The 24392-nt window shown below is 51.4% G+C and overlaps 1 protein-coding gene and 1 non-coding gene across 14 annotated transcripts in view, besides 4 other annotated features; both read left to right on the top strand.

Annotated features, from left to right (window-relative positions):
* PAX5 (paired box 5) overlaps positions 1-24392 on the top strand; it is a 201000-nt gene that overhangs the window by 148674 nt on the left and 27934 nt on the right. For 7 of the 13 annotated variants that reach the window (NR_103999.2, NR_104000.2, NM_001280556.2 and 4 more), the window contains one exon: positions 3490-3591. The exons of the other annotated variants lie outside the window; for them this stretch is intronic. Coding sequence is in view for 5 of the 7 variants with exons in the window: in NM_001280556.2 (NP_001267485.1) it covers positions 3490-3591 (102 nt within the window). In the remaining 2 variants the exon portion in view is untranslated. The remainder of the gene's footprint in view (positions 1-3489; positions 3592-24392) is intronic. 13 annotated transcript variants of the gene reach the window in all.
* Positions 5480-6176: an enhancer, noted in NCBI's record as "H3K4me1 hESC enhancer chr9:36879416-36880112 (GRCh37/hg19 assembly coordinates)". NCBI's record gives its function as "activates a minimal SCP1, AML or CMV promoter by ChIP-STARR-seq in primed H9 embryonic stem cells {active_cell/tissue: H9 hESC(primed)}" and the evidence as "EXISTENCE:reporter gene assay evidence [ECO:0000049][PMID:30033119]".
* Positions 7944-8183: an enhancer, noted in NCBI's record as "active region_28358". NCBI's record gives its function as "activates an Ori minimal core promoter by ATAC-STARR-seq in GM12878 lymphoblastoid cells {active_cell/tissue: GM12878}" and the evidence as "EXISTENCE:reporter gene assay evidence [ECO:0000049][PMID:35858748]".
* Positions 16964-17655: an enhancer, noted in NCBI's record as "H3K4me1 hESC enhancer chr9:36867937-36868628 (GRCh37/hg19 assembly coordinates)". NCBI's record gives its function as "activates a minimal SCP1, AML or CMV promoter by ChIP-STARR-seq in primed H9 embryonic stem cells {active_cell/tissue: H9 hESC(primed)}" and the evidence as "EXISTENCE:reporter gene assay evidence [ECO:0000049][PMID:30033119]".
* Positions 20699-20808: an enhancer, noted in NCBI's record as "active region_28357". NCBI's record gives its function as "activates an Ori minimal core promoter by ATAC-STARR-seq in GM12878 lymphoblastoid cells {active_cell/tissue: GM12878}" and the evidence as "EXISTENCE:reporter gene assay evidence [ECO:0000049][PMID:35858748]".
* Positions 21287-21341, top strand: MIR4540 (microRNA 4540). The gene has a single exon (NR_039766.1). It is a non-coding gene; the product is annotated as a microRNA 4540 (primary transcript).

Raw genomic sequence — 24392 nt, 5'->3', positions numbered from 1 at the left:
CTGTGTGACTGTGAGCAAGTCACTTAAATGCTCTGTGCCTCAGTTTCCCCCTCAGTAAAATAGGGATCATAGTAGCTCTCTAATAGGGCTATTGTGAGGAATAAGTGAGAATGTGTGTGCCTCACTCACAGTTTACTCTCCGTAAGCGCTGGCTATTATCCTCCCCATTTTATAGATAAGGAAATCGAGGCTCAGAATGACTAAGGGACTCTCTCAAGGTCACACAGCTAATAAGTGGCAAATCAAGGGTGTGAGCCTGGGCAGACTTGACATGCTTCGTCACTGTGCTCTGCTGTCTTCCTTTCTCTGGTGAGCTGCAGCCTCCCCGAGACCTCCCCACACAGTGTCATCAGGTTTATGCTGGGAATTTTGTAAGCTATGAGGTTTCAGTGGAATAATGCTGCTCAACAGCCCATACCAGTGCCTGGAACACTGGAGCAATTCAGGAGGTTGAGAGGACACAGAAAGCTGTCAGCTTCTCTCCCTTCCTTGCAAGGAACAACCCAGGCCCTTTGTTTTCATGGCTAGTCCAAGGAGAGTAAGCACAGCTACAGGTGAAGCCTCTGGTTCTGGGGACTGTGCCTGCGTAAAACTGGAGCCGTGGACAAGGCAAAGGAGCCCCTCTGTGATGGGAACTCGGAGGCAGAGTGATGTGTAGAGTGCATGCGGCCATGTGCCAGCTCCTCTGAGCACATACTGCCATCCTGGTGGGCTGGGAGAGGGGGACCTGAGAATGGAATGAGTCCCCAGCATGGTGGTTGCTCAAGTCCTGCACAAGGCTGGAGTCGACACAGTCCATTACCTGGCTATTTCACCGAAATTTTCCATTGGTTCTAGGAGATGAGCCAATTTTCTTATGATTTCCCAAGCCTAAGATTTATCCAGCTGATTATAATCTTGGGTTTCCCCCTGCCCCCCAGTGCTTATTCCTCTTATGTCTCTGTCTTATCGTATTGTACTGGCTAAAACTTTCAGAACAATTTTCAGTGATAACATTGATAATAGGTTTCCTTGACATGTTCTTGACATTAACAGGAATTCTCTAAGTATCTCACCAATTAAGTATTTTTAAGGTATTAACTTTAGATTTAGTATCAATATAAGAACAAGGAAGTATACTTCAATTCTTATTTACTAAGAGGTATCATAAGGAATTAATATTGAATTTTAGCCAATGCCTTTTCTATATCTTTTATATAATCATATGATTTTCTTCCTTTAATACATTAATATGATGTCCTGAACAGTGCTTTAATATTGAACCATCCTTGCATACATAGAATGAAACTTTTTTGGTCATGGTATATTATTCTTTCTGTAATATTGCCCAATCAGTATGATAGTAGACTTTTTACATGTATATTAACAAATTGTGAGACTAGTCTTTAATTTTTTGTGTGCTGCCTTTGTTAGATTTTTAGATCAGGATTATGCTAGCTTGGAGAAATGAATTGGGAAGATTTCCTTAGTTTTATATATCCTGGGAACAGTTTAATAACTGAGATATGTGTCTCTTGAAGGTTTAAAGAACTTGCCAAAAAGAATAACAAACAAAAACTTTCCCAAGAAGCTAAATGGATGAGGCACTTATTTTTTTTTAAACTTTTTCTATTTCTTCTAAGATTATTGGGATGTTGGTATTCTCTGACTCTTCTTGAATTACTTTTGGCAATTCATATTTTCCTAGAAAATTGTACCTTTTGTTGAGATTTCTACATTCATTCATGTGGAGTGTGTTTCTTTATGTTTTTAAATATCATCTCTGGTTATAATGTCTCCTCATCCTTTATCTTGATTATCTGTGCTTTTTTTTTGAATCTTGATAGATTTGTCTATTTTATTGTTCTTTTCAAATAACAATTATTGGCTGATGTATTGTTGTCTGCTTTTCTGTTTCCTAATTCATTCTTTTCTTTTCTTTTTGTGAATGGAGTCTCACTCTGTCTCTCAGGCTGAAGTGCAGTGGTGCCACCTCAGCTCACTGCAACCTACACCACTTAGGTTCAAGCGATTCTCCTGCCTCAGCCTCCCGAGTAGCTGGGATCACAGGCATGTGCCACGACGCCTGGCTAATTTATATATATATATTTTTTAGTAAAGACAGAGTTTCACCATGTTAGCCAGGCTGGTCTTGAACTCCTGACCTCAGCCTTTCAAAGTGCTGAGATTACAGGCGTGAACCACAGCCTGCCCCTAATTCATTCTTTTCTGTTTTTATTTTGTTGATTCCTTCCTCCTTCTTTCCCTGGGTTCATTTTATAGATTTTTATCTGGCTTCTTGAGTGCTTTGGTGAGGCACTGATCTTCTGAACATTTGCTTTAGGGTTCAAGGTTTTAAAGCATGTGTAACAGCAGCAGAAACTGTTGGGGTTCAGAAATGACCCTGAGAGCAACCCACCGTTGAAGAAAGGATCCACTCCCAGGGGGCAGGGGGGCAGACTGTCAGTCCCAGCCTTGCCTCAGGTCAGCCGAGTATCTTTGGACAAGTTCCCTCCCCTCTCACGATCCTCTTATCCATCCCAGGCAGCCAAGTAGGATGTGAGCACTTGTACCAGGCAGCCTCCTACTGGGCTAATGCCCCCCATCTTTCAGGAGGCAGGTTTGGCAGCACCCCTTATGTGGTCCTGGCCTCTACCCCAACATGCACACCCATCAAAACTGTGCAATTGAATTTTCCTCTGCGTGATGGAGCCAATCAGTGATGGTGACAGTGTCCCAGCTGAGAGACACATGGACACTCTGGACTCATGGTCAGAAGCACAGCAGCCTGAAAGAGCTGGACACTCGCCCATGGGAGTGTGCACGCCTTGAGGGCTGAGGCCTTAACCTCCATGTCCCAGGGCCAGAACAGTGTTTGGCACTGGGAGGTGCTTCCTGCATCTTCACTGAATGAAGAAACAGCTCTAGGCCAAAGGAGGAAAAATTCAGTACTAGGCCAGATATGGGACTATAAGGTTTGAGGCAGATATGCCCCCTGTTCACTGTGGGGGGCTGTTGAGGAGAGGAGAAGGGAGGCATTTGAGCTGGTCTTTGAAGGCAGGTGGTGGCAGGCTGTGTGCAGTTGGAGGAAGGGGGACTTTGTACAAAGGACATAGCAGAAACAACAGTGTGGAGATGGAGAGGTCCCAGCCATTCTTGGGGAGTAGAGAGTAGGGAGAGCTGGCTGGAGTCGGGGCGTGCTGTCACCTGCATTGCCTAGCCTCCCCAAGCAGGGGGTTCTGATTTCCCAGGAACAGGCCACATCCCTGACTCTGTTCTTGCTGAGTGGAGCGAGGGTGGCTGGAGATGTGTGTGCATGAGTGTGTGTGTGTGTGTGTGTGTGTGTGTATGTGTGTTTGTGAGAGCGTGTGAGCGACAGGGGGGAGCTGGGGGCACATTGCCGTTCAGCGTCCAAACGTGACAAATGTGCAGAAGCGTCCAGGGAGCTGTGGACATGAGCGGCTGGCCGCGAAGATGCTCACCCTGTGATTTGTTGCTTTGATTCCTCAGGCCGTGACTTGGCGAGCACGACCCTCCCCGGGTACCCTCCACACGTCCCCCCCGCTGGACAGGGCAGCTACTCAGCACCGACGCTGACAGGGATGGTGCCTGGTGAGTTTGCACTGTCGGCGTCTCCACAGCAGGCAGCGGACGGGGTTTCGGTGGGGGGACATCCCCCCCCAAACAGCCTGGGTGACCTCTACGCTTCTGAGAAGCGGACCTGAATAAATCAGGCAGAGGTCTGCACTCTCTGCAGCTGGGCCTGCAGTGGGCCCTGGACCAGCCAGCAGCGGCACCAGGGAGGACACCGGGGGCGAGGGGAGGGTCTTTGACTGTCACTCAAACAGGCCTTGTTGGCCACGTACAGAGTCTGAACACAGAGGGTGCAGGGGCTGGCTGCAGGTCACCCAGCCGGTGTGGAGCGAGCCTTCTCCCCAACCTTCCCTCCCTCCCGGCCCCCGCCCTCTCTCCCACACAATCGTGTGACACGAACAAGCAGAAGGCGCTGAGGTGCTCGCGGTGGCCTCACTCCTTGGGGTTGAGGATAATGTGTTCAGGACAGACGGGATGTTGGATGGTGGGTTTGTCATTTGATTCTAAACTGAACACCCTGTGGCCGTTGGAACCTGATCCCCCCAGGCCGGTGATTGTCAGTTTAAAACATCTGGAGAGGAGGCTGCCATGTCTCCTTACATTGTGGGGTGGTGTGGGGACAAGCGGTACTGGCTGTCTGGGTGTTAAGGGCATTAGCATAGCAGGAATACCCGAGTATTCTTTCTTGAAAGATGTTTTTAAAAATCAGGAGGAAAATCGGGCCTCCACTGGATGTTGTTACACATCTTTTATGAGTTAGCATTGTCTCCTTTTAAAAATTATTTCTAAAAGTTTTTATTTATTTAATTTAATTTTTAATAGACAAATAGTTCAGTGTATCTATAGGGTACAGTGTGGTGTTTTGACAGTGTATGCATTGTGGAATGATCAAATCAGGCTAATTAACATACCCTTCACCTCAGATGTTCATCATTTCTTTGTAGTGAGAACCATTAAAAACCTCTCTTTTAGCTGTTGGAAATATGCAATGCATTATTACTGACTATAGTCACCATGCTCTCTCTTAGGTAGAGTCATTTACAGGGGGCAACACAGCTTGTTTCAGTGCCTGGGGCTCTAAGGGCCTTATCTCCTCCTAACACACACTCTTGACTGTCTCTGGGCACCTAAAAAAGCCAGACTGGGCCGGGCACAGTGGCTCATGCCTGTAATCCCAGCACCATGGGAGGCAGAGGCAGACAGATCACTTGAGGCCAGGAGTTCGAGACCAGCCTGGCCAACATGGCGAAGCCCTGTCTCTACTAAACAAACAAACAAACAAAATACAAAACTTAGCCAGGTGTGGTGGCATGCACCTGTAATCCCAGCTATTCGGGAGGCTAAGGCATGAGAATTGCTTGAACCCAGAAAGCAGAGGTTACAGTGAGCCAAGATCGTGCCACTGCACTCCAGCCTGGGCGACAGAGCGATACCCTGTCTCAAAAACAATTAATAAAAATAATAATGTAATAAATAAATAGATAAGGGAGCCACCCCTTAGAGGGCCCCACTTTAGCCCTGCTGAAGCCTTGCCCACTCTCCCATGCACTGGGGAGAGCCTGCAGGGCCAAACGGACATAACCACACCCCTCTTTCTAGCTCATGCTGGAGTCCCACCCAAATAGGCCCAAGTCTCTTCCCCCGGGCCATCCTCCTAAAGCCAGCCCATGTCACTGGTGTGTGCATCCCTGGGCCTGAGGCCCGGCTCTCTGTCGAGAGTGTGGACGGAGCTTGGATGTGCGGGCTGGGTGTCCACACATGCGTGTGCAAGGCCCCACGTGGTGATGAGGATCCCAGGGTGGGGAGCTCAGCAGGACGGATCTTAGCTAGGCTGGCTCCCCTATGGCCACATCCTGGCACAGAACGCCCAGAAGGCCCAGAATTCTACATTCGATCCTGGCCTTCCAGGTTGTTTCGAAGATGTATTTAACAAGGTAGGAGGATGGAGCATATTTCATTTAACGATTTGCTAGCTTGATTGATGACTTTTAAATATGAGACACATGGGAAACGGCCTCCGTGTGTACTCTTGTCCTGGGCCTTGCCAATGCCAGGGAGGCCTGCCAGGTTCCTGCCTGCAAAACTTTGGTCTGCTGCAAGGATGGACCTGTGGCAGATCACAGAGGTGGTGGGACACACACCACCCTTCCCCTTGCCCCGCCCCACCGGCTCCTCATTTTCCAACCTTTAGCACGTCCAGGCGGCCTTGGGAGATGGACCCCAAGCCGCGTCCATGGATGGCCCGTCGCATTTATGTAGTGCCTTATAGAACACGGACTTCCCCTGAGTGCTATGACGCAACAGTCCTGCAAGGGGGGCAGGGTTAGGAGAGTAATCCCTGTTTTCCAAAAGGGCCAGAGAAGCCCCGGAGAAGCCAGGGAATTTCCGGGGGGCTGTGCAGCTTGCAGGAGGAGGACTTGAACCCCAGTCTTTGGCCCCTTCTACCTCCCTCCCAGCACTCCCCACACCCAGGGAGGCACTTCTTCCTGTGCCCTGGGCTGCCTGGGTGTGCTCTCTGAATCAGTCAACTCCAGCTTATCTGTGATGACAGAGGGACAGGGACAGCCCCGGAACCTGTTCTGAGAGCATGTCAGTGGTGAAGCTGAGGCCACCCAGCCGGTCCTCTCAGCCCCCCACTGGAAACCCCAAAGAGGCTGAGTTCAGAGAAGCAGCTGAACTTTGCCAAGTTTATCCAAACAGAGCCTGCCCTCTGGCCACCAGGATTCCTCCAGCCCTAATTACCAGGCTCAAGACACAGATGGCTGCAGGCCTGGCAGAGCCTCCAGTGGGAATGGATGGCGACTCTTTGCCCATTAACAGGGCAGCAGGAATCACAGGCCCGAGCAGGGGCACAGCTTCACCAAGCCTGGCAGCAGCTGGACAGGGGCAGCCCCAGGGCCCCATGGGACTCTGTCCTTGGGCACAGAGGAGGGTGCACGAGTGTGGAGGGAGGAAACAAGCACTTCGGCAGAGGAGCCTGCTGCCTGGGAGCCCATGACTTCTTCCTTCTCTCTCTCCCTCCATTCTTTCCTTCTGCATCTCTCTGTCTCCTCTTCCTCCGTCTTTTCCTCTTTCTCCTCTTGCCCCAGCCTCCTTGCTGTCTCTTCTCATGCATCTCCCAGCATTTATTCAGTGCCATGCCTGGCGTCAGGGCTGGGATTCCAAGCTCAGCCGCACAGCCCTTAGTTCCTGTTTCTCAATGGCCAAACAGGGTCAGGTCTTTGGGACTCTTGTTTCCAACAAAATTTCCAAATCTGTTTCTTGGGTGGCCTGTGGACATTGTTTTTGCAGACACTACCCCCGGCACTGTCCCACAGAACAGAGAGGGCCCACCTTTTGGCAGAGCAGGGGCCCTGGGCTGTCAGGCCTCACCGTGGTTGGCCTCAACTTGCCTTTCTGGCCTCCTCTCCCAGCCTCCCCAACCCTGACTGCTGTCTGGTGCCCAGCACACCTTGGACTCTCACCCATCAGTTCCTTCATCATTCTTGAATAGCTTCCCACCTTGACCTGTCAGAATCCAGCAACACCCTTCAGGGCTGAATGCAAACCTCACCTGCTCAGAAAAGCCTTCCCAGATGGCCCCCCCTCTGGGGGAAGATGCTTGTGCCTGGCTCTGCCACATCACATGACCCAACGTGTTCAAGGCACAGCCCCCTACGCCACGTCCATCACTCTCACTGGGACCTTATTAGTCTCTGCACCCTTCATGGCCCCTAACACGTATCAAGTTATCTTTGTGAATGTTGGCTAAGGGAGGGAGGAGAGGGAAATTATATGGACCTGTGTGTTAGTTTCCTGTGGCTACTGTAACAAATCTCCCCAAACCTGGTGGCTTAAAACCACAGAACTGTGTTCTCTTATAGTTCTGGAGCACAGGAGTCTGAAGTCAGTATCACTGGGCCAAAATCAAGGTGTCGCCAGGGCTATGCTCCCTCTGGAGGCCCTGGGGAAAGATCTGTTTCCTTCCTCCTCCAGGTTTTGTGGTTCGTTCCCGGCATTCCCTGGCTGCAGCTGCATTGCTCCAAGGCAGGAGTTTTCAGTGTTTCCCTGCTCCATCTTCAGGTTGCCTTCTACTCTGTGTGTCGAATCTGCCTCTTCTCTGTTATAGGGATACATATGCATTTAGGTCATACCTGGAGGATCCAGGATGATCTCCCCATCGCAAGATCCTTAGTCAATCACATCTGCAAAGACCCCTTTTTTCCTTTCACGGGGAGTCACATTCACAGGTTACATATAAGGAGCCTCCCTATATCAGGCTCCAGGGAGTAGGGCATGGATGTGCCACAACACGCTTGAGAACTTCAACTCAGTGTTTGTTCAGATGCTGATTTGTGACCTCTCGGGCTTCTGAATCCTGAAGGCATCCACTGAATTGTGACGGTGCTGAAGATGATGATGCCATTGCATTGACCCCGAGGGCCTGTTGGCATGTTTGGAGAAACAAGTGAAGCAAGGCTCTGGGACACCTGTGTCTCTTGCTTTTGTCTCTCTGAGGTTGCTATGCTGCAATGATCTGTTTCACTGTGAGATCTGTTTCACTCCCTCCTGGCCTCTGGTGGGCTGGTGGTGCAATCTAGAGGGAATCCCAAAATCTTCGGGGTGTTTTTTCCCCACTGTCGGCTTTAGAAAACATTTAGCTGCCACTACTTTCACTTCTTTTTTCTTTTCATTTTTTAAATGAAGGCATGGTCTCACTCTGGCCGTCGCCCAAGCTGGAGTGCAGTGGTGCGATCTTGGCTCACTGCAGCCTTGACTTCTTGGGCTCAGGTGATCCTCTCACCTCAGCCTCCCGAGTAGCTGGGACTACGGGCACCTGCCACCATGCCACCTAATTTTTGTATTTTTTGTAGAGACGGGTTTTGCCATACTGTCCAGGCTGGTCTCCAACTCCTGAGCTCAAACGATCCTCCTGCCTCAGCTTCCCAAAGTGTTGGGATTACAGGCATGAGCCACTGTGCCCGGCCACCACTTCATTTCCAAGTGAAGGCTTTTATTGTAAATGTGCTTGGAGGACACACAGAGGAAGGCACGCTTGCCTTGGGCTATGCTTCCACAGCCACACTGCAGAGCCTGAAAAAGTGGATGTCATGTTTTTCCTTACTAAATGTCTGCTTGTTAGCTTGGACTCATGTTCAGCTTGATTTCTGATTCCATCATCAGAGTTGTCTGCTCCTTCCGGCTCCAGGGCATCCCCATGTCTGCAAAACATAGCTTCTGGTCTTCTCTAGGGTTTGCAGATTCAGTAAACTCTGCATCACCATTTGCAGAGCAGTTATGTTGAAGAAAGCGAATATAGCATCTTATATCAGCTTAGAAAGGAAACAGTTTTCAAATTTTATTTCCATCAAGTCCCAGAAAATGCCGAAAATTTTGCACCAAAGATTTCATAGTGTCTTGATTGGTGTAACCAGTTGATTCCTGCCTGAAGATATTTTGCAACCTAACATGGTTGCAAATATCTTAACATGGTTGCAGATATCGACATGGCATTTGAAATTCTGACAAATTCTGGGCTAGAGGAAAAAGGAAGGGGAGTTCATTGCCCTTTGGCTTTAGTAAGTCTGAGAAAAAAAGGTTGCTATCTTTGAGGAACCGGTGGGTGCCCCATCCCTCATGGCCCACCAGAACAATGTGCACAAAGGCACTAGGTGGGGTCCCTGTGGGCCTGGGCACTGTACTTGCCATGGATTGATGGACATCATTTCTAGATGCCTTTCAATTGAGGCACTCACTAAACTGATGGCTTTTATTTTCTTAAAGAAGTAGGAGGTGAGGGTGCAGTGTGGAGTGGGGGCCTGAGGCCAGAGGAGAGGTGGGCGCAGCCTTGTGGGCCGGGAAGGCACAGGGTCCACTGAACACCACAGGGGGAGTGAGAGGGGCCTGCTCCTTCCCACCTCAGCACCTGCAACTTCCTCTGCTTAAAGGGCTCAGCCCCTCTCTGCTCGTTGCCCAGCTTGCCTGGTCCCCTCTCACCTATCTGGGTTTCCCTTCCATAGAGAGGCCTTCCCCAGTGACCAAATATATTTGAGTTTCCTGTTGCTGCTGTGACAAATTACCACAAATGAGTGACTTAAAACAACAGACACTTTTCTCCCTCTGATTCTGGAAGTAGGTCTCACTGGGCTGAAGTCAAGGTGTCTGCAGGGCTTGTTTCTTCTGGAGGTGCTAGGAGGGAATGATTTGCTTTCTTGTCCTAGCTTGTTGCTGCTGCCGGCATTCCTTGGCTTTTGGCCCCTTCCTTCCTTGTCGAAACTGGCGATGTTGGGCTGAGTCTTTATCCGGCTGCCCCTCCTTCCTCCCCCATTCACTTAGAGAGCTCTGTGTTTCCCTTGGACCCACCTGGATATCTAGGATAATCTGCCCATGTTCAGGACAGCTAATTTCATTTTATCTGCAACCTAATTCCCCTCTGCCATGTAATCCGACATAATCATGGGTTCTAGGGCTTATGATATGGACATTTTTGGGGGGGGCCACAATTCTGCCTGCCACATACCCTCCGAACCAGGACCCCCTATCATTCCTCTCCCAGAGCTTCCTGCTCTTTTCATGTGCAGCACTAAGCCCAGCTGAAGTCATTTAGTGTGTGGTTTACTCGTTCCCCTCCGGCTTCTCTTCAGGTCTGTATGGTATGTAAGAGCTGTACAATAATCAAGGCTATGTCTGTTTTGTTCACAGTTGTGTCCTTAGTTCCCGGCACAGTGCCTAGCACCTAGTCGCACTCAGGACACAGTAGCTGAAATTAAAATGGAGAACTTTAGGCCGAGCTGCCAAGGAGAGCTTCGCTAGGTTTGCTGTGGCCCTGAGTCTGGGGGCTGGGGTGATGCAACCAAGGAGGCTGGGGCTGACCCAGGGCTGGGAGTGGTAGCGCTGTTAGAGTGGCCGCCACATGGGGAAGCAGTGGGAGGCTGGGTGGTTAAGAGCATGGACCTGAGCCAGACTCCCTGGTTCTGAGTCACAGTCCTGCTTCTCACTAGCTGTGTGACTTGGGGCAAGTTACATAACTCCTCAGGGCCCTGGTTTCCTCCTCGTGTATAAAATGGGGATACTGATAATAAATGTGAGCATTAAGTGATGTAATATACATAAAAGCTCTTAGAATTCTGACTGGCACATATGGAGTGGCACATAAGTGTTCATTATTATTGCTATTATTATTTACACAGGGGCCTGGGCTGGATAGGGCGGTGAACAGAGAAGCCTAGCAGGCATGCTAACGCTCAAATCAAGAGCTCTCCAGCAGAGCTCATACCTCCTGGAGCCTGTGGATCAATGGGAAAGCCAACTAGAGAAGAATCCAGTCAGAAATGAGAGCACTGCCAAGTAGGAGTCAGGCAGTCTCCGAATACAGTGGGTCTGCAGAAAACAGAGAGGCAGCTGTGGTTGGTGCAACTGAGAAAGGCATTCTGGCAAAGGTGGCCCTGGAGCTGGGCTGGGAACCATGTGTGCTTGGCTATCTGGAGAGGAGGATGGGGGCTTTGCGGTAGGGCAGAAGGCTAAGCCTAGTGGCTGGTGTGGGTTCCCAGGGGTGGGAGTCCAGCCCAGGCCAGGCAAGTAGGATTGGCAGGGAGGGGAGCCTGTTGAGTGGAGGCTGATGGCCAGCAAGGTTAGGATCTGAGCTTGGCAACTTTTGGAGGCCAAGCAGACATGCAGATGAGGCCTTCTGCAGACAGGTGCATGAACCCCAGGAGCATGGGGCGAGGGCCAGTCCAGACAGAAATATGCAGATGCCCCAAGAGAAGCGAAGGGTGCTTTGGCAAGAATGTGGCTTCACCATTATTAGCAGTGTGACCACAGAGGAGCTCTGTGACTTCTCGGAGCCTGCCTTGCTACTGTTTGAAACGATGGTTGTGTAGTTACGGAGACACCGCCTGTGTGAGATAGGAAGGGTATTGAGGTTCTGGAGCGGGGAGGAGAAGGTTTCTTTTGTGGTCTGGCAAGCCCACCCCTGATTCTGCGTCTTGCCTGCCCTACAGGCCTGCTCTGTGCAAAGCATGCAGGCTTAGGGGTGGGGGCCGCAGTACCAGGCAGCATCCTGGCCCAGCTCAGCCAGGACCTCTGTGCCATCTGACATGTCATTTCCACTCTCTGGGTCTGGTTAAGCATGTGAAACAGGGAGAAAATATATACTGCCCAGTTCCATAGGCATGGCCGGGAGTAGTGAACAGGATTCAGAGGGCCACCTTTTCCAGCCTTGTATCAAGAACCTTTCCTATGATTAGTACTGAAGACATTGGAATGGGCAGACTTGGGAGGGTCCAGCGGACACTGGTGAGAACTTGGTGGTGGGGATTTGAGCATCAGATGGAGAGAGGACCAGTGCTCTCCAGGCACCTCCGTGACCTAAGCATCAGGCTCAGGGAGCGTTTGCTCAGGGAAAGAACAGCCTTTGTTCTTAACACTAACTTCCCTTGACCCCTGACTTTCTTTCTAAGCTCCTTGCTGGGGCTCCTGGTAGCTCTCTGGCCTGGGCACGCCACCCCTTTGCCAACCTGGCCCTGGCCTCTGGGGTGCACACCTGTTGCTCGTTCCTGACTCTTTGCTGCCCTCTGGTGGCCTCCAGTCACTCTGCCACAGCAGGAACACAGACTTGACCCTGGGGAATCCTAGACACAGCTACGATGAAATGCAGGTGGCCATTCACTTGTTCATTCATTCATTCTCCATACATTTCCTAAGAGACCCTTGGTGCCAATTGTGGGCTAGGGGTGGAGCTGCCGACACAGCCCCTGCCCTCAGGGAGCTCACAGTCTAGTTGGAGAGATGGATATAAAAAAATCCTGATGTGCTAATGTTAAGAGCTAAGACCTAGGAATCTATAAAGTGTGGGGAAATGCAGGTGAGGGGGACCACTGAGTCTGCTGAGGCAATGGGGTGGAGTGGGAGAAATCAGGGAAGACTTCTCAAAGGAGGTCATTTGAGCTGGACCTTGAAGAGTGAGTTTGCCAGTCTGTGAAGCTGGAGGGATATTGTTGGGTAAGGGACCAGTGCGTGAGAAGCCCCAGGGGAACCAGAGAACATGGGCATCAGGGAGGGAGCTGGGAGTGACCAAAGCCTTGTGGGGCTGGTGGGAGATGAGCTGGAAGGGAAGGCTGGATCTAGGGAAGAAGGGTCCCAGTCACACCCACACCTCAGCCCTGGAAACCTCTGGGCATGAGGCTGAGCATCCAATAGCCTTGCAGAGGGCAGGCTCTGCCCAGGCAGATGTGGAGAGCCAGGGTTGCCTGTTGCCTGTGCCCTCATAGGGTGGGGGGACGAGGGGTCTAGAATGAGGTGGTCTGGACAGTCTATGTGACTAAAGCTCCAGGAACCCTGCACGGAAGTGATGCTGGGAGTGAGGAGAAACTGATACACACATGTAGGCTTTCTCAGCTCTTGCCTGCATTTGGGAAGAAAAGAATTACAAAAGCCTCAGAGATGGAAAGGACTCTGGGGACATGAAGGTCCTACTTGAATTTAGGAGACCTAGGTTCTGATTCTAGCTGCCAGATACTCACAGCATGACCTTGAGACATGACCTTGGGACTCCCTGCTCTCTCTTAAAGCAGGAGGCAGGGCCTGGGGAGGCTGGGCTGAATGCACCCCAGGGGGTTTTCTGCTCCTGCCATTCAAGGTTTCTAAGTCAGTGATGTTTATCCCTGCTCATAACAGCTCCTGACCGAACTGGAGGGCTCCCTAAGCCCTGCCACCTCTGTTCTAAGCAAGCAGAAAGTGCTTCCAAGTTCCCTTCAGATCTGGGGCTGTGAATAATAAGACAGTGGCCCTGGGCTGTCATGTATAATCTGGTAATCACTTCCAAGGGCTGGACTGAAGGAGAAGAGCCTGAGGACTTGTTAACCTTACACACTGCTCCCATGTCTCGATCGGGAAGGCCCAGAAACTGCTGGGGCAGGCCAGGGCTGGCTTTTGGGGCTTGTGCACCTGGGAGGAGGGCTCCCAGACTGGAATCTGCAATCTTAGGGTGAGAGAGAGGTAGTAAAGATCACCATCATTTGTTCCATCTTTGAAAGCAAAGTGTCCCTTTTGGGAGCATGGAGATGGGGAGAGAGAATATCCTAGGCTCACAGGTGCTGGGAAACATTCTTATTTCTCACAACCCCATTGCAAGGACAGCTGAGAAGCAGAGTCTCAGCTGGGAGAGTGCCCTGTCCAAAGCCGGTGCTCACTGGCCCGCCTGGGAAGTGTGCAGTGCTGGGGGAGCTCAGAGCCAGGGGCTGAGGACAGCTTTGGTGCTGCTCTGGGCTGAATCTACTTGTTAGATTTCCCCAGTTTCCAGCTCCTTCTGATGGTGGTTGGCAGGCCCCAGATCCAACTGCACCAACCTGGTCATGAGTATGTGAGAACATGTGTTTGGGATCCTGACTTACAATTTCTTCCTGATGTCCTTCTACTAATGGTGTTTCTTAAAAACAAACAACAAACAAAACGACTGGGCTGTGATGGCTTTTTAGGAGATGAAGGGGAATGCTATCAGAATTTGCTTTAGAAGAAACTGAAGCATTTGCGGAAGGGCTAAGCGTTGGGTGGCTGATGCAGGGTCAAGGTGGGCCTGGAGGGCTTAAAGGTTCTCCCAGCCCTGAGAGGTTAGGGGTCCCCCATTAGTGCAGAGAGGAGCCTGGACGTACACAGCCCAAAGTGAGGGTGTCCTGAGGACAGTGGCCTTGCTGAACCTTAGGCCTTCTTATCCTAATTCCTGATGACCAAGTCAGATTCTGACCAGAGACAGAGTGGGCATGAATCCAGGAGATAAACGCCGAGGACTGGACGAGGACTGCAGCCCGGGTATGCACAGGGCCCACGGAGTGGCAGCAGAAGCCATCCTCAGCCCCTGCCACACAGCAGGTGGCAGAGCAGCCTGACGCCAGGCCTGGGGTTTAAGCCACGCTGCTACAGGCACCTCCCAGTAGCACTGCTTGCCAAAAGGCCTGTCAAGAGGGCAGGTGGCAATTCCCTCTGTTTTGTGGTTGAGTCTTGGTTGGGGGCAAACAGGGAGAAAGTACTCTGGGCCTGGCTTACCTGGAGGTAGGATGGGAAGGAGAGGCTGAAGTCCTAGGAGGAGCCTGGGCCAGGCAGCCCCTGCCCTGAGGGCACCCTATGCAGGAGTGTCCAGGGCTCAGACCAGCCCCTTCTTCTACTGGGCAGCAGCAATCTGAGGGGCTTGGGGCCCAATGCACTCCTTCCCTTTTCTTTTACTTTTTATCACATTATTTACGAGTGCGTCTCTACCTCCACCAGACTTGAGCTCCTGGAAGATGAGGTTGGTGTCCCAGCCAAGACTTCCCACAGGATCCTAAATGAAAGTGCAGGGCCCTGGAGAGGCCCTGGGCTAAAGTCCCAGGAGCTTTTTAGGAATCTACAACAATCTGAGGCCCAAACAAAGCTCCTTTTACCTCTAAAATTAAAATAGGAAACTAGAAAACTGACATTAATAAATGTCATAGTAAATGTTTACAAATTGTAACATTGTTGTTAACTTCATTAACTATTAAATTTAGGGCTTACAAAAATTTCATTACATTTAAAAACCATTTTTAGATTAGATTTTGTTCCTTTAAAAGAATTTCTAAGTTTGTGCCTCAGTTGCAGAGTATTCATAGCTAATCATCAATTAGATTACTTGTGGCCAAATAATTTCAAAAGTAAAATTATAAAAATAAGCTTTTTGTGTTTTTAGAGTGAAAAGTATCATTATTATAGGGCATTTAATGCATGATGTGCTGTGGGGTAGAATGGAAAGGGGCCTCCGTGTCCTAGAAGAAGGGGCTTGGGAGAGAGCCTGTTGAAATGTATTGAACATAATAAATAATTGTGGGGCCTTGAGCTGATCAGGTTGCAGTGGCCATCCATCCATCCATCCATTTATCCATCCATCCATCCATCCATCCATCCATCCATCCATCCATTTATCCATCCATCCATCCATCCATCCATTTATCCATCCATCCATCCATCCATCCATTTATCCATCCATCCATCCATCCATTTATCCATCCATCCATCCATCCATCCATTTATCCATCCATCCATCCATCCATTTATCCATCCATCCATCCATTTATCCATCCATCCATCCATCCATTTATCCATCCATCCATCCATCCATCCATCCATCCATCCATCCATTTATCCATCCATCCATCCATTTATCCATCCATCCATCCATCCATCCATTTATCCATCCATCCATCTATTCATCCATCCATCCATCTATTTATCCACCCATCCATCCACTATCGCTTCCTTCCTTTCCTTCTCCCTTCCAACATTTATTGAGCATCTACATGTGCCAGGTAGTAGCCTAAGGATACAAGATCAAAACTCATGACCCTTGTCAGGCAAATCTGTGAGGGGCTATGGGGGCCAGTTGTGGTAACAGGCAAGCCCAGGGACTCTGGGAACACAGAGAAGGGGGATGGAGCCTAGACTGGGGATGTCAGACACAGAGGGGCTTGGAATCTCTGTACAGTAGGGCTGGGTGGGAGGCATGTCTGAGGGTGCTTTTGCAGAGAGTTTTGCTAAGATTGAGAAAACACATCAAAGAATAGGGGCACAGCTAAAGCTTTCCAAGACATCCCTGGTGCTGCCCTTAGGGCAGGGGAGGAATCTAGGAAGAGACAATTTTCAGGTTTATTGTTGAGAGAGAAACATATGTTAGCCAGTGGGAGGTGGAGTGAGGAGGGAGAAGATGAGTGTTTCAGGCAGAGCAGGAACAATGAAGACAAAGGTTCTGAGATGTGCTTTGCTCCTGTACTTACTGCAGTCTTTCCGAAACCCAGCTTTAATCTACTGGGGCTGTCAGAGTTTGACTCCCTTCGGCTTGCTGGGATCTGCAGCCCCTGTCTCCAAGACCCTGACAGCTGTCAGTCTTCATCTGGACCAACCGCTGCCTCCAACCCTGAGGGTCACTCCACCTGGGATACTGCTATCCAGAGAACTTCTGGCAGTGTCCGAAGCCCTCAGGGCAGTGAGAGCCAGTGGAGCTTGGCTTCTGCCTTCCAAAAGGAGAGTGTTCTCAAATGGGGCCAAACCACCCATGCCCGTAAGCTCATTCTACCAACAAGCCCCATGCTTCCCCACCCCCAACCTGCATGGTGCTTTAGAGTTATCAAGGGACACACAGCTGTTAGCCCCAGTTGCCATTTGAAAGCATGTTGTGAGGTTGGAGTGAGCATATCCATCTCGGAGGCAGGCTGACTGGGTTCGGGAGGTGGTGTTGCATTGCCAGGGGGATAGCCAGTCAGGGAGCAGCTGGGCTTGGCGCCTGGAACTTAGGGTCTCTGAGCCTCCGGTGTCCATGGAGACTGAGAGGAAATTGAGACTATCTATGGGCTCTGGGGCCAGGGAAGGTGCTCCCTCAGGGACATAGGTGGCCTTCCTAACTCGAGTTCTTTTATGGCCCAGGAAGAGCTCTTCCTGCTGGGATGCTACGGAGCTCACACTTGGAATTCTGGTATATTCCTTTCTCCCTCCCCATCCTCACCTGTCTGTGTTTGACACATGTTCCTAGACCCAAATTTAAGGCTCTCTCTTACAGGAAGCCCCCCACCGCAGTCCCTCATCTCCCCACTGTGTGCACCCCCCGGGCACTGCCCATGGTCTGCCATAGAGACCCCGTGCGCCCGTCTCCTGGCTGCGTCTGAGGTCAGGGCTGCCCGGAATTCCTCTCAGATCCTGGCCCTGCCTGCAGTAGGTGCTGCCTGCAGTAGGTGCTCAGTAGCTGTGGGTGGGATTTATCTGAATACAGCACATGCCCCTCCCCATCTTGCCCGGTCCAGAGTCCAGGGCAAGTTAGGGTCGGACTGTGTAATTAAACAGGGCTTGAGTGCTACTGGCACGCCCCCAGTCCTTCTTCCAATATTTGCTCTGGCTTCTAGCAGGAAGACGCTGAGACAATGGCCCTTGTTACCCTCTGTTTGAGTTATTTATTTTTTTCACTTTTCCCTCCTTCCCCTCTCGGGGGACTTGCCTCTCGCCCTCATCCCTCATGTTTTCCCTTTCACTTGACTGTCACTCTCATTGTCCTCCCGGGGCCGGGAACGCGGGGTGACAGGCAAGGGGAGCCCAACCAGGCTGGGAGGCTGGAAATATAGTCATTAATGGGACCCGCGAAGCCCAGATGTCCTCCCTGAATGCGGGTAATTTGTTTTTAATGAAAAACCATGCGGTGACCCTGAACAAATGAATTTTCTTTATAAGGAGTCTATGTGCAACGGGCACAAATAAAGGGCCCGAAACAGGGAGACTTAAATCCAGGGCTGAAAGAAAGAAAGAAAGGAAGAGAGAAGGAGTGGAAAAGAGAAAGAGAGATAAAAGAGGGAGGAAGGAAAAATGTGAAATGACAACTGTGTTACCATACCCTTCGCCTGAAGAGCAATCCCAGGCCAAAAATGCCTTGGGCATTGTCCTGCCAGGGCAGGGTTTCTGACCGCTGTGGCCATCGTGGGGTCTTGTTCACAATGCTGCTAAGAAGACGAACCCCCACCTGGACGGAGCTTTGCTATTCATGTGCCCCTTTCATGTATAATTGCAGTGGAGCCTCACGGTAGCCCCTTTTACAGAGGTGAAAACTGAGGCTTAAATGGTTTGCTAGCAAGTGGTTCAGTCTAGATGACAAGGGAAGGATTTTGCCAATTTGGAGTGTGACTCTTAGAAACACTGTGTTACAGCCCAGAAATTGCTTTCATTGTGTGATGCAAAAGAAGGGTGTGGCACGAGCAGGTCTAAGCGGGGACACCAGGTGTATACCGAAGAGTCTTGGGTTGAAGCAGTTTCCCATAGCCCCTACAACTTTGCACTGGACCTTTGTGAATGAATAGCTTTTCCATGGGCACTGCGGGTGTGGGGTTCCTGGGTAGAGAAGAACTCCCCAGGAACGAGCCAGACACATTTGGAAAAACAAATGCAAAGAAATTGGAATCTAGCCTTGGGAAGCAGGAGACCAACCAAGGCCCCCCCCCCACCACCCCATCCAGGACATTTTGTAGGCTGTAGAGCTGGCCACTGGGGGCAGCGGCAAAGACATTGATTCAACAGAGGCCCTAGCCGAGGGCCTTGCCTTTGGCTTTGGAGAAATCTGCTCTGCAGGAGAAGCTTTGAAGGCTGTTAGCCCTGTGTAGATTGGGCTGTGCCTGTGTGGAGCGTGTTGTGTGTTCAACGGAGAGGCCGTTGTGTGTTCTGTAGCTGCTTTTCCGTCCATCACTGATGGACAGGGCTGGACTCAACCTTAGAAATCAACCCAGGGCTGTGCAGATGAGGATGAGGAAAGGACTTGTTCAAAGTCATATGGCAAGTCAGAGGGGGAGCCAGGTGGCCCTCTTTCTGCCCTATTGTCCCCACCCCCCTCAGTTCCTCACCGAAGCAATAAAAAAGAAGCTATTTTGTCTCCTGTCCTTGTGCAGAACTGGTATAAAAAGGACGGTTCCTGGATGCCCTGGCTTCTACAGCAACACAAATCGAGACCCCCACCTTCACCCCAACTTTTGTTGTGCTCTTCCTGAATGCAGATCCTCTCCCAGGCCCTGGGACCTGGCCAGCTACAAAAACATCTTCTCTTAAGTCTCAGGCTTCTGTGCCTCAGTGGATCCAGGCAACGGTGGGCTCCCCAGGTCTGGCCGAGGTTGGTCTGAGACCTGCAGGTACGCCGGGGCACAGCTCCCCTACCCAGAGTCAGGTAGCCAGACACAAAGAAATGATTGTTTTCTGTTCCTGGGTTCAGTTTCCCTCTGGAAGCTGTGACCCAGTTAGAAAGTCAGACAGATAGAAAAATCTGACCACGACCCCAACTGAGGTTCTGAAGTCTTGGCTTCTATTTAGGCCTCTGCCTCGAACGCTCCCTGGTGAGGCCCGGCCCGCCCGCGCTTCTTCAGCCACCAGGAGCAGACCTTCCTAGCCGCTGGTTTCCTCCATAATTGATGATTTATTCCCCACTGACTTCCAAAATGGATTTGAGGCACCTTCCTGACCTTTCAATAACATCAGCCCCAACCTGAAATCCCTGTCATAAAACAGGAGGACTGCCAGTGGTTCCCGGTGGGGCAGGAGTGGATGCAGATCCACCCCACCTGCCCGAGGATGGGCAGACTTGCTTTTCACAGCGTGGCACCACTGAGCCGTCCTTTGTGCCCAGCCCTGCTCTGGAGCGACCCACGCTTCACTGCTAGGAGGTGGGAGCTCACTTTTTTGGAAACAGCTCCTGTCTGGATGCATACCAGAGCAGGCTTCCAAAAACATACTTTTAATCAAAAGAAGACTACCAGAAAAACTGGGGCAAATTGTGATTTTGACAGTGGACAATTATAAATACTGGGAGGGGTTACTAGTTGGCAAATAAACTCCGCTAGTGAAGTCTTGGATTAATTATACCACCAGTGAGCTGGCCGTGTGGGGTCTCCTGATTATCTTCATTTGCGGAATATGTTCTGGTCTTCCTCCATTTCTTCCTTCTCTCCCTCTCTCCCCAGCCTCTCCCGCTGCCTTCCCTCCTCTCTTCCCTTCCTCCCTTCTTCCTTGACTCACTTATTCATTCATCAGACAATCCCTGAGTCCCTCCTGGGTGCTGGGCCTAGTTCAAAGAATGGGCACAGAAATGACTGAATGAATTTCTCAAGACCTAGGAGAATCGCCCATGCTACCTGCTCAGATGGAAAGAAACCAGCTTGCATGTGGAGGTTCTGCAGGATTGCTAGGCCCAGGGGCTAGGCAGAGACTACTGGGGGACAAGAGGGCAAGGTGTGGGGAGCTCAGAAGCTGAGGGTTGCTGACTCGATGGATGCTCTGGCCGGGCTCACCCTGGGCCTCCCTGGGAGAACTGAGGGAAGCACCTGGAAATCTTGGTCTCTGAAGTGGGTGCCTGGCCTGTGTTTCCAAATAGGGGGCTCTGTATTTAGGAGTGGGGAGGAGCAGGGAGCTGCCCTGAATGGCTGCCTGCTTTGGAAATTTCTATGCATTTGTAATAACAAAATTACCATAATTTGCTCGTTAACGCAGCTAGATCAGTCAAGCATTGTTCCTTCGCGGGCGGGAAGGCCGCGGTGCCTCTCTCTGCACACTCTCCACACCCCAGCCCGCCTGCCAGCCCGTTAGAGTGCTGGAAATTAGCATGCAAATGGTCCTAATTCGGTGGGCGAGCTGTCAGGCAGCGCCTCTCTGGCCTCGTCTCTGTGAAGGCCCTGACAGCCCGGCTCCGGCGCCGGCCCACCCTCCTCACTCCAGCCAGGAGGGGCTCCGAGGGGCACCTCTAGACTGACAGCTTGGCGGCCTCCCTCCCTCCGTCAGCGCCATCAGCCCTGGCGGCAGGCTCCCAGGGGAGCAGGCAGGGCCTGCCACCATGCTGGCCAGGCCGGAGGAGGCAGGCAGGCCGGTGGGCTGAGGGGGGAGGCTGGCCCACGCTCAGGCCCACCAGCCTTAGCTGGCCTGGGCCGATGGGGGCAGGTGAGGGTGGAGTTGGGGTCCCCTGACTCAGGGTCCGGCTGGGGCACGGGGACCCTCACAGCTGGTGGGTTCTGACAGTGGCCCCATGAGGACTCTGGACAACCTTTTCCCACCTGCACATCCACAAGGATCAAGTTCAAGTCCTGCCCTGCTCCCCACTCGTTGTCTTCCAGTCCTGACTTAACACATTGCTCCTCGCCCTCCCCCATACCTGGACCGTCTCTGTCCAGGTCCACTCCTGGAACTCCTCAGGCTCTAGTGGAGAATTAGGGAGGCTGAGAAGCTGCATGGACCAGGACTTGGCACCTTTGGCCTTAGTCCTGCCTGTAGGTTTACCAGCCTTAGAGGGAAGTCACCTTTCTGTCTCTGTACCTCAGCCTGCACTTTTATGGTCTTTTTCCCAGGGCTCCTGTGAGGAAAAGGGCTTGCTTTGTAGCAGTAGCTGACACCTACTAAGCACTTTTATTGGGGGGGCGGGGGGAGACAGAGTCTCGCTCTGATGCCCAGGCTGGAATGTAGCGGTGCAATCTCGGCTCACTGCAACCTCTGCCTCGTGGGTTCAAGCAATTCTTCTACCTCAGCCTCCCGAGTAGCTGGGACTACAGGCACATGCCACCATGCCCAGCTAATTTTTGTATTTTTAGTAGAGACGGGGTTTCACCATGTTGGCCAGGCTGGTCTTGAGCTCCTGACCTCCTGATCCGCCCACCTTAGCCTCCCAAAGTACTGGGATTGGAGGCGTGAGCCACTGCGCCCGGCCCCTACTGTGCACTTCTATATGCCAGTCCTGCACTAATTGCCTTTCATTCCCCGACCTGCGTGTTTTTTGCAATGCTCCCATTAGGCTGCTGTTGATGTTATCCCATTTCACAGAGTAGGAAGTGGAGGCATCGGCTTGCACAGAGTAACTTGCCCAAGTGATAGTACCAAGATAGAGCCTAGTAGGCTCACTGGTTCTAGAGCCCTTTTAACAAGAGAAAACACAGGGGCCTGAGAGCTGGAGCCTGCCTCTGCCTGGCAATGTGCCCTAGAGCATGTTCCTGAACTGTGCTGGGCCTCGGCTTCTGCATTGGTGAAAGGCATGATGACATCACCTGACAGATGATTTGTGCCCCTCATAGTACCCGGCACATCACTGACACTAAATAAATGTAAGTTGAGGCCAGGCACAGTGGCTCACACCTGTAATCCCAGCACTCGGGGAGGCCGAGGCGGGAGGCTCGTGTGAGACCAGGAGTTTGAGGCTGCAGTGAGCTATGCTGGTGCCACTGCACTCCAGCCTGGGCGACAGAGTGAGACCCTGTTTCTAAAAAATAAAAGAATAAAATAAATACAGATTGAAAAAAAGAACCCAGGCGGGTCTGTCTTTGAAGATCCATTGGACTTATCCTTACGTTTTTCTCCTGATCTGTGACAGCAGTGTGAAGCAGCTACCGCAGGAGGGAGAGATCATGCAATAGGGTTTGTCTTAAAGTTTCCCCTGGGCTGTCCCCAGGCTGTTTCTCAGCACCTTGTTCCTTCCTTCTCTTGAGCAGATGAAGCCCCACGCCAGGACTTAGGGTTTGGTGGCTGTAGAGCAGGCTGGACCTCAGTCCCCACTTGTCCAGTCAGCCGGTGACTCTGGTGCAATGAACAACCTGCCCTTCCCTGCGTGCCTGCCCTGCCTGCCCCCTTGGTCTGTTTTAAGGGCATCTTATTGGGCCTTTTTAACCTTCAGATAAATGGAGAGGCGAAAGAGACCCTGAGAGTAGGTGGGAGCTCATGAGCCTGAGTTTCTGCCGCATTGGAGGACCACCTGCTCCCAGCATACAGACTGGCACAGGGCAGATGCCCAGTGAACATGTAAGGAGCCACCTTAAAGAACCTGTGGGCCAAGACGGGAAACAGGCACGCAAACCTGGGCAGGGCTGAACCCAAAGCCGCCCACCTACCTGCTTCAGACCAAACGCCCCCAGCCAGGGGTGGCTTCTCTTTCCTATGTTGCTTTTCCTTTCCATCTTCTTTTTGGTTTGTTTATTGGGGGTCATAGCATGATGGATCCACGTGCCAGCCTCTCAAATCGCTGCTGTTGGGCTGTGTGGAACATCTTTTGGAGAGAACATGATCTGCCAACCACAGGATCTGAAGCAGCATGAGGACCTCTCAGGGGCGCATCTATTCCCACCCCAGAACGCGGTGCTGGGGACTTCTGAAATAGGAAGGCCGGACTGCTGCCTGCGAAGTTCATTGCTGCGGGCGGGAGAATTGACCAGGCTCCCCCTTGTGGAGAATCGGGATGCATCGTCCTCCTGCATTCCTGGTGTGTGGCCAGACAGGACTCCGCACCCACACCCCTCCTCAGTTTACCCAGAGCTTCCACACCCATCTTCTCTTAGAATCCTCACCACAACCCCGTAGGGACCCATTTTTATGGCTTTTGTGACAGGCTTAGCGAGAGGTAGAGAGGCCCAAGATCATGCAGAGCCAGGACTAGAATTCAGCATGCTTTCCCTCTACCAGCTGCCTCCACACACCTGGCCCCGCTCCGTGAGTGCCCTTGGCTTTGGCCAGCTGACCCTCTGCTTGCATAGCCACATGGCCTGGCCCTTCCCAGTCTTGTGGCATTAGGATAGAAAGGGCCAGAGGTGTCCACTCAGTGGGAAGGTCAGTCTTACAGTAAATCCTTGCAACAGCCTCTTTCCTGGTCTCCCCATTGCCAGTCATGACCCTTTAGTCTATTCACAACAACGTGGCTGCAGTGAGCCTGTGAAAATTGGAGTCAGGACACGTCCCTCCTGTGCACACTCAGAGTAGAGGCCAAAGTCCTGACCTATCTCCCACTCCCCACTTCCCTCCCTGGCCTTCTCTCCCCTCTCCCCACCCTGGCTTCTCTCCAGCCACATAGGCCTCCTGGCTGTCCTAGCCACACACCTCCCACACTCCTGCCCCAGGGCCTTTGCACTTGCTGTTCCTTCTGCTTAGAGGGCCCTTCCCACAGATATTCATATGGCAAACTCTTGCTACCTTCATTCTTTCTTCAAAAGTCACCTTTTCAGTGGAGTCATCCCCGGTCACTCCATCTAAAATTCCACCTCCTCCCAATATTTCTTATTCTGTCTCCTGCTTCATGTTTTCTCTTTAGCACCCATCATTATCTAGCATGCCGGACGCTTTGTTTTTACTTGTCTGGTTTACTGTTTTGTTTGTACCACTGGAATATAAGCTCCATGAGGGCAGGGACTGTTATCTGCTTTGTTCAGGGCTATATCCTCAGGACCTGGTACCTAGTAGGCCCTCAATCAGTATCTGATAGATGAATGGATGGATGAAATTGCGACTGTCTGCAGTGGGCCTGGTACCTAGTAGGCCCTCACTCAATATCTGATAGATGAATGGATGGATGAAAT

The sequence above is a fragment of the Homo sapiens genome, chromosome 9, assembly GCF_000001405.40.
Source record: "Homo sapiens chromosome 9, GRCh38.p14 Primary Assembly".
Classification (NCBI taxonomy): Eukaryota; Metazoa; Chordata; class Mammalia; order Primates; family Hominidae; genus Homo; species Homo sapiens.
This window is presented reverse-complemented; position numbering and strand designations above follow the sequence as displayed.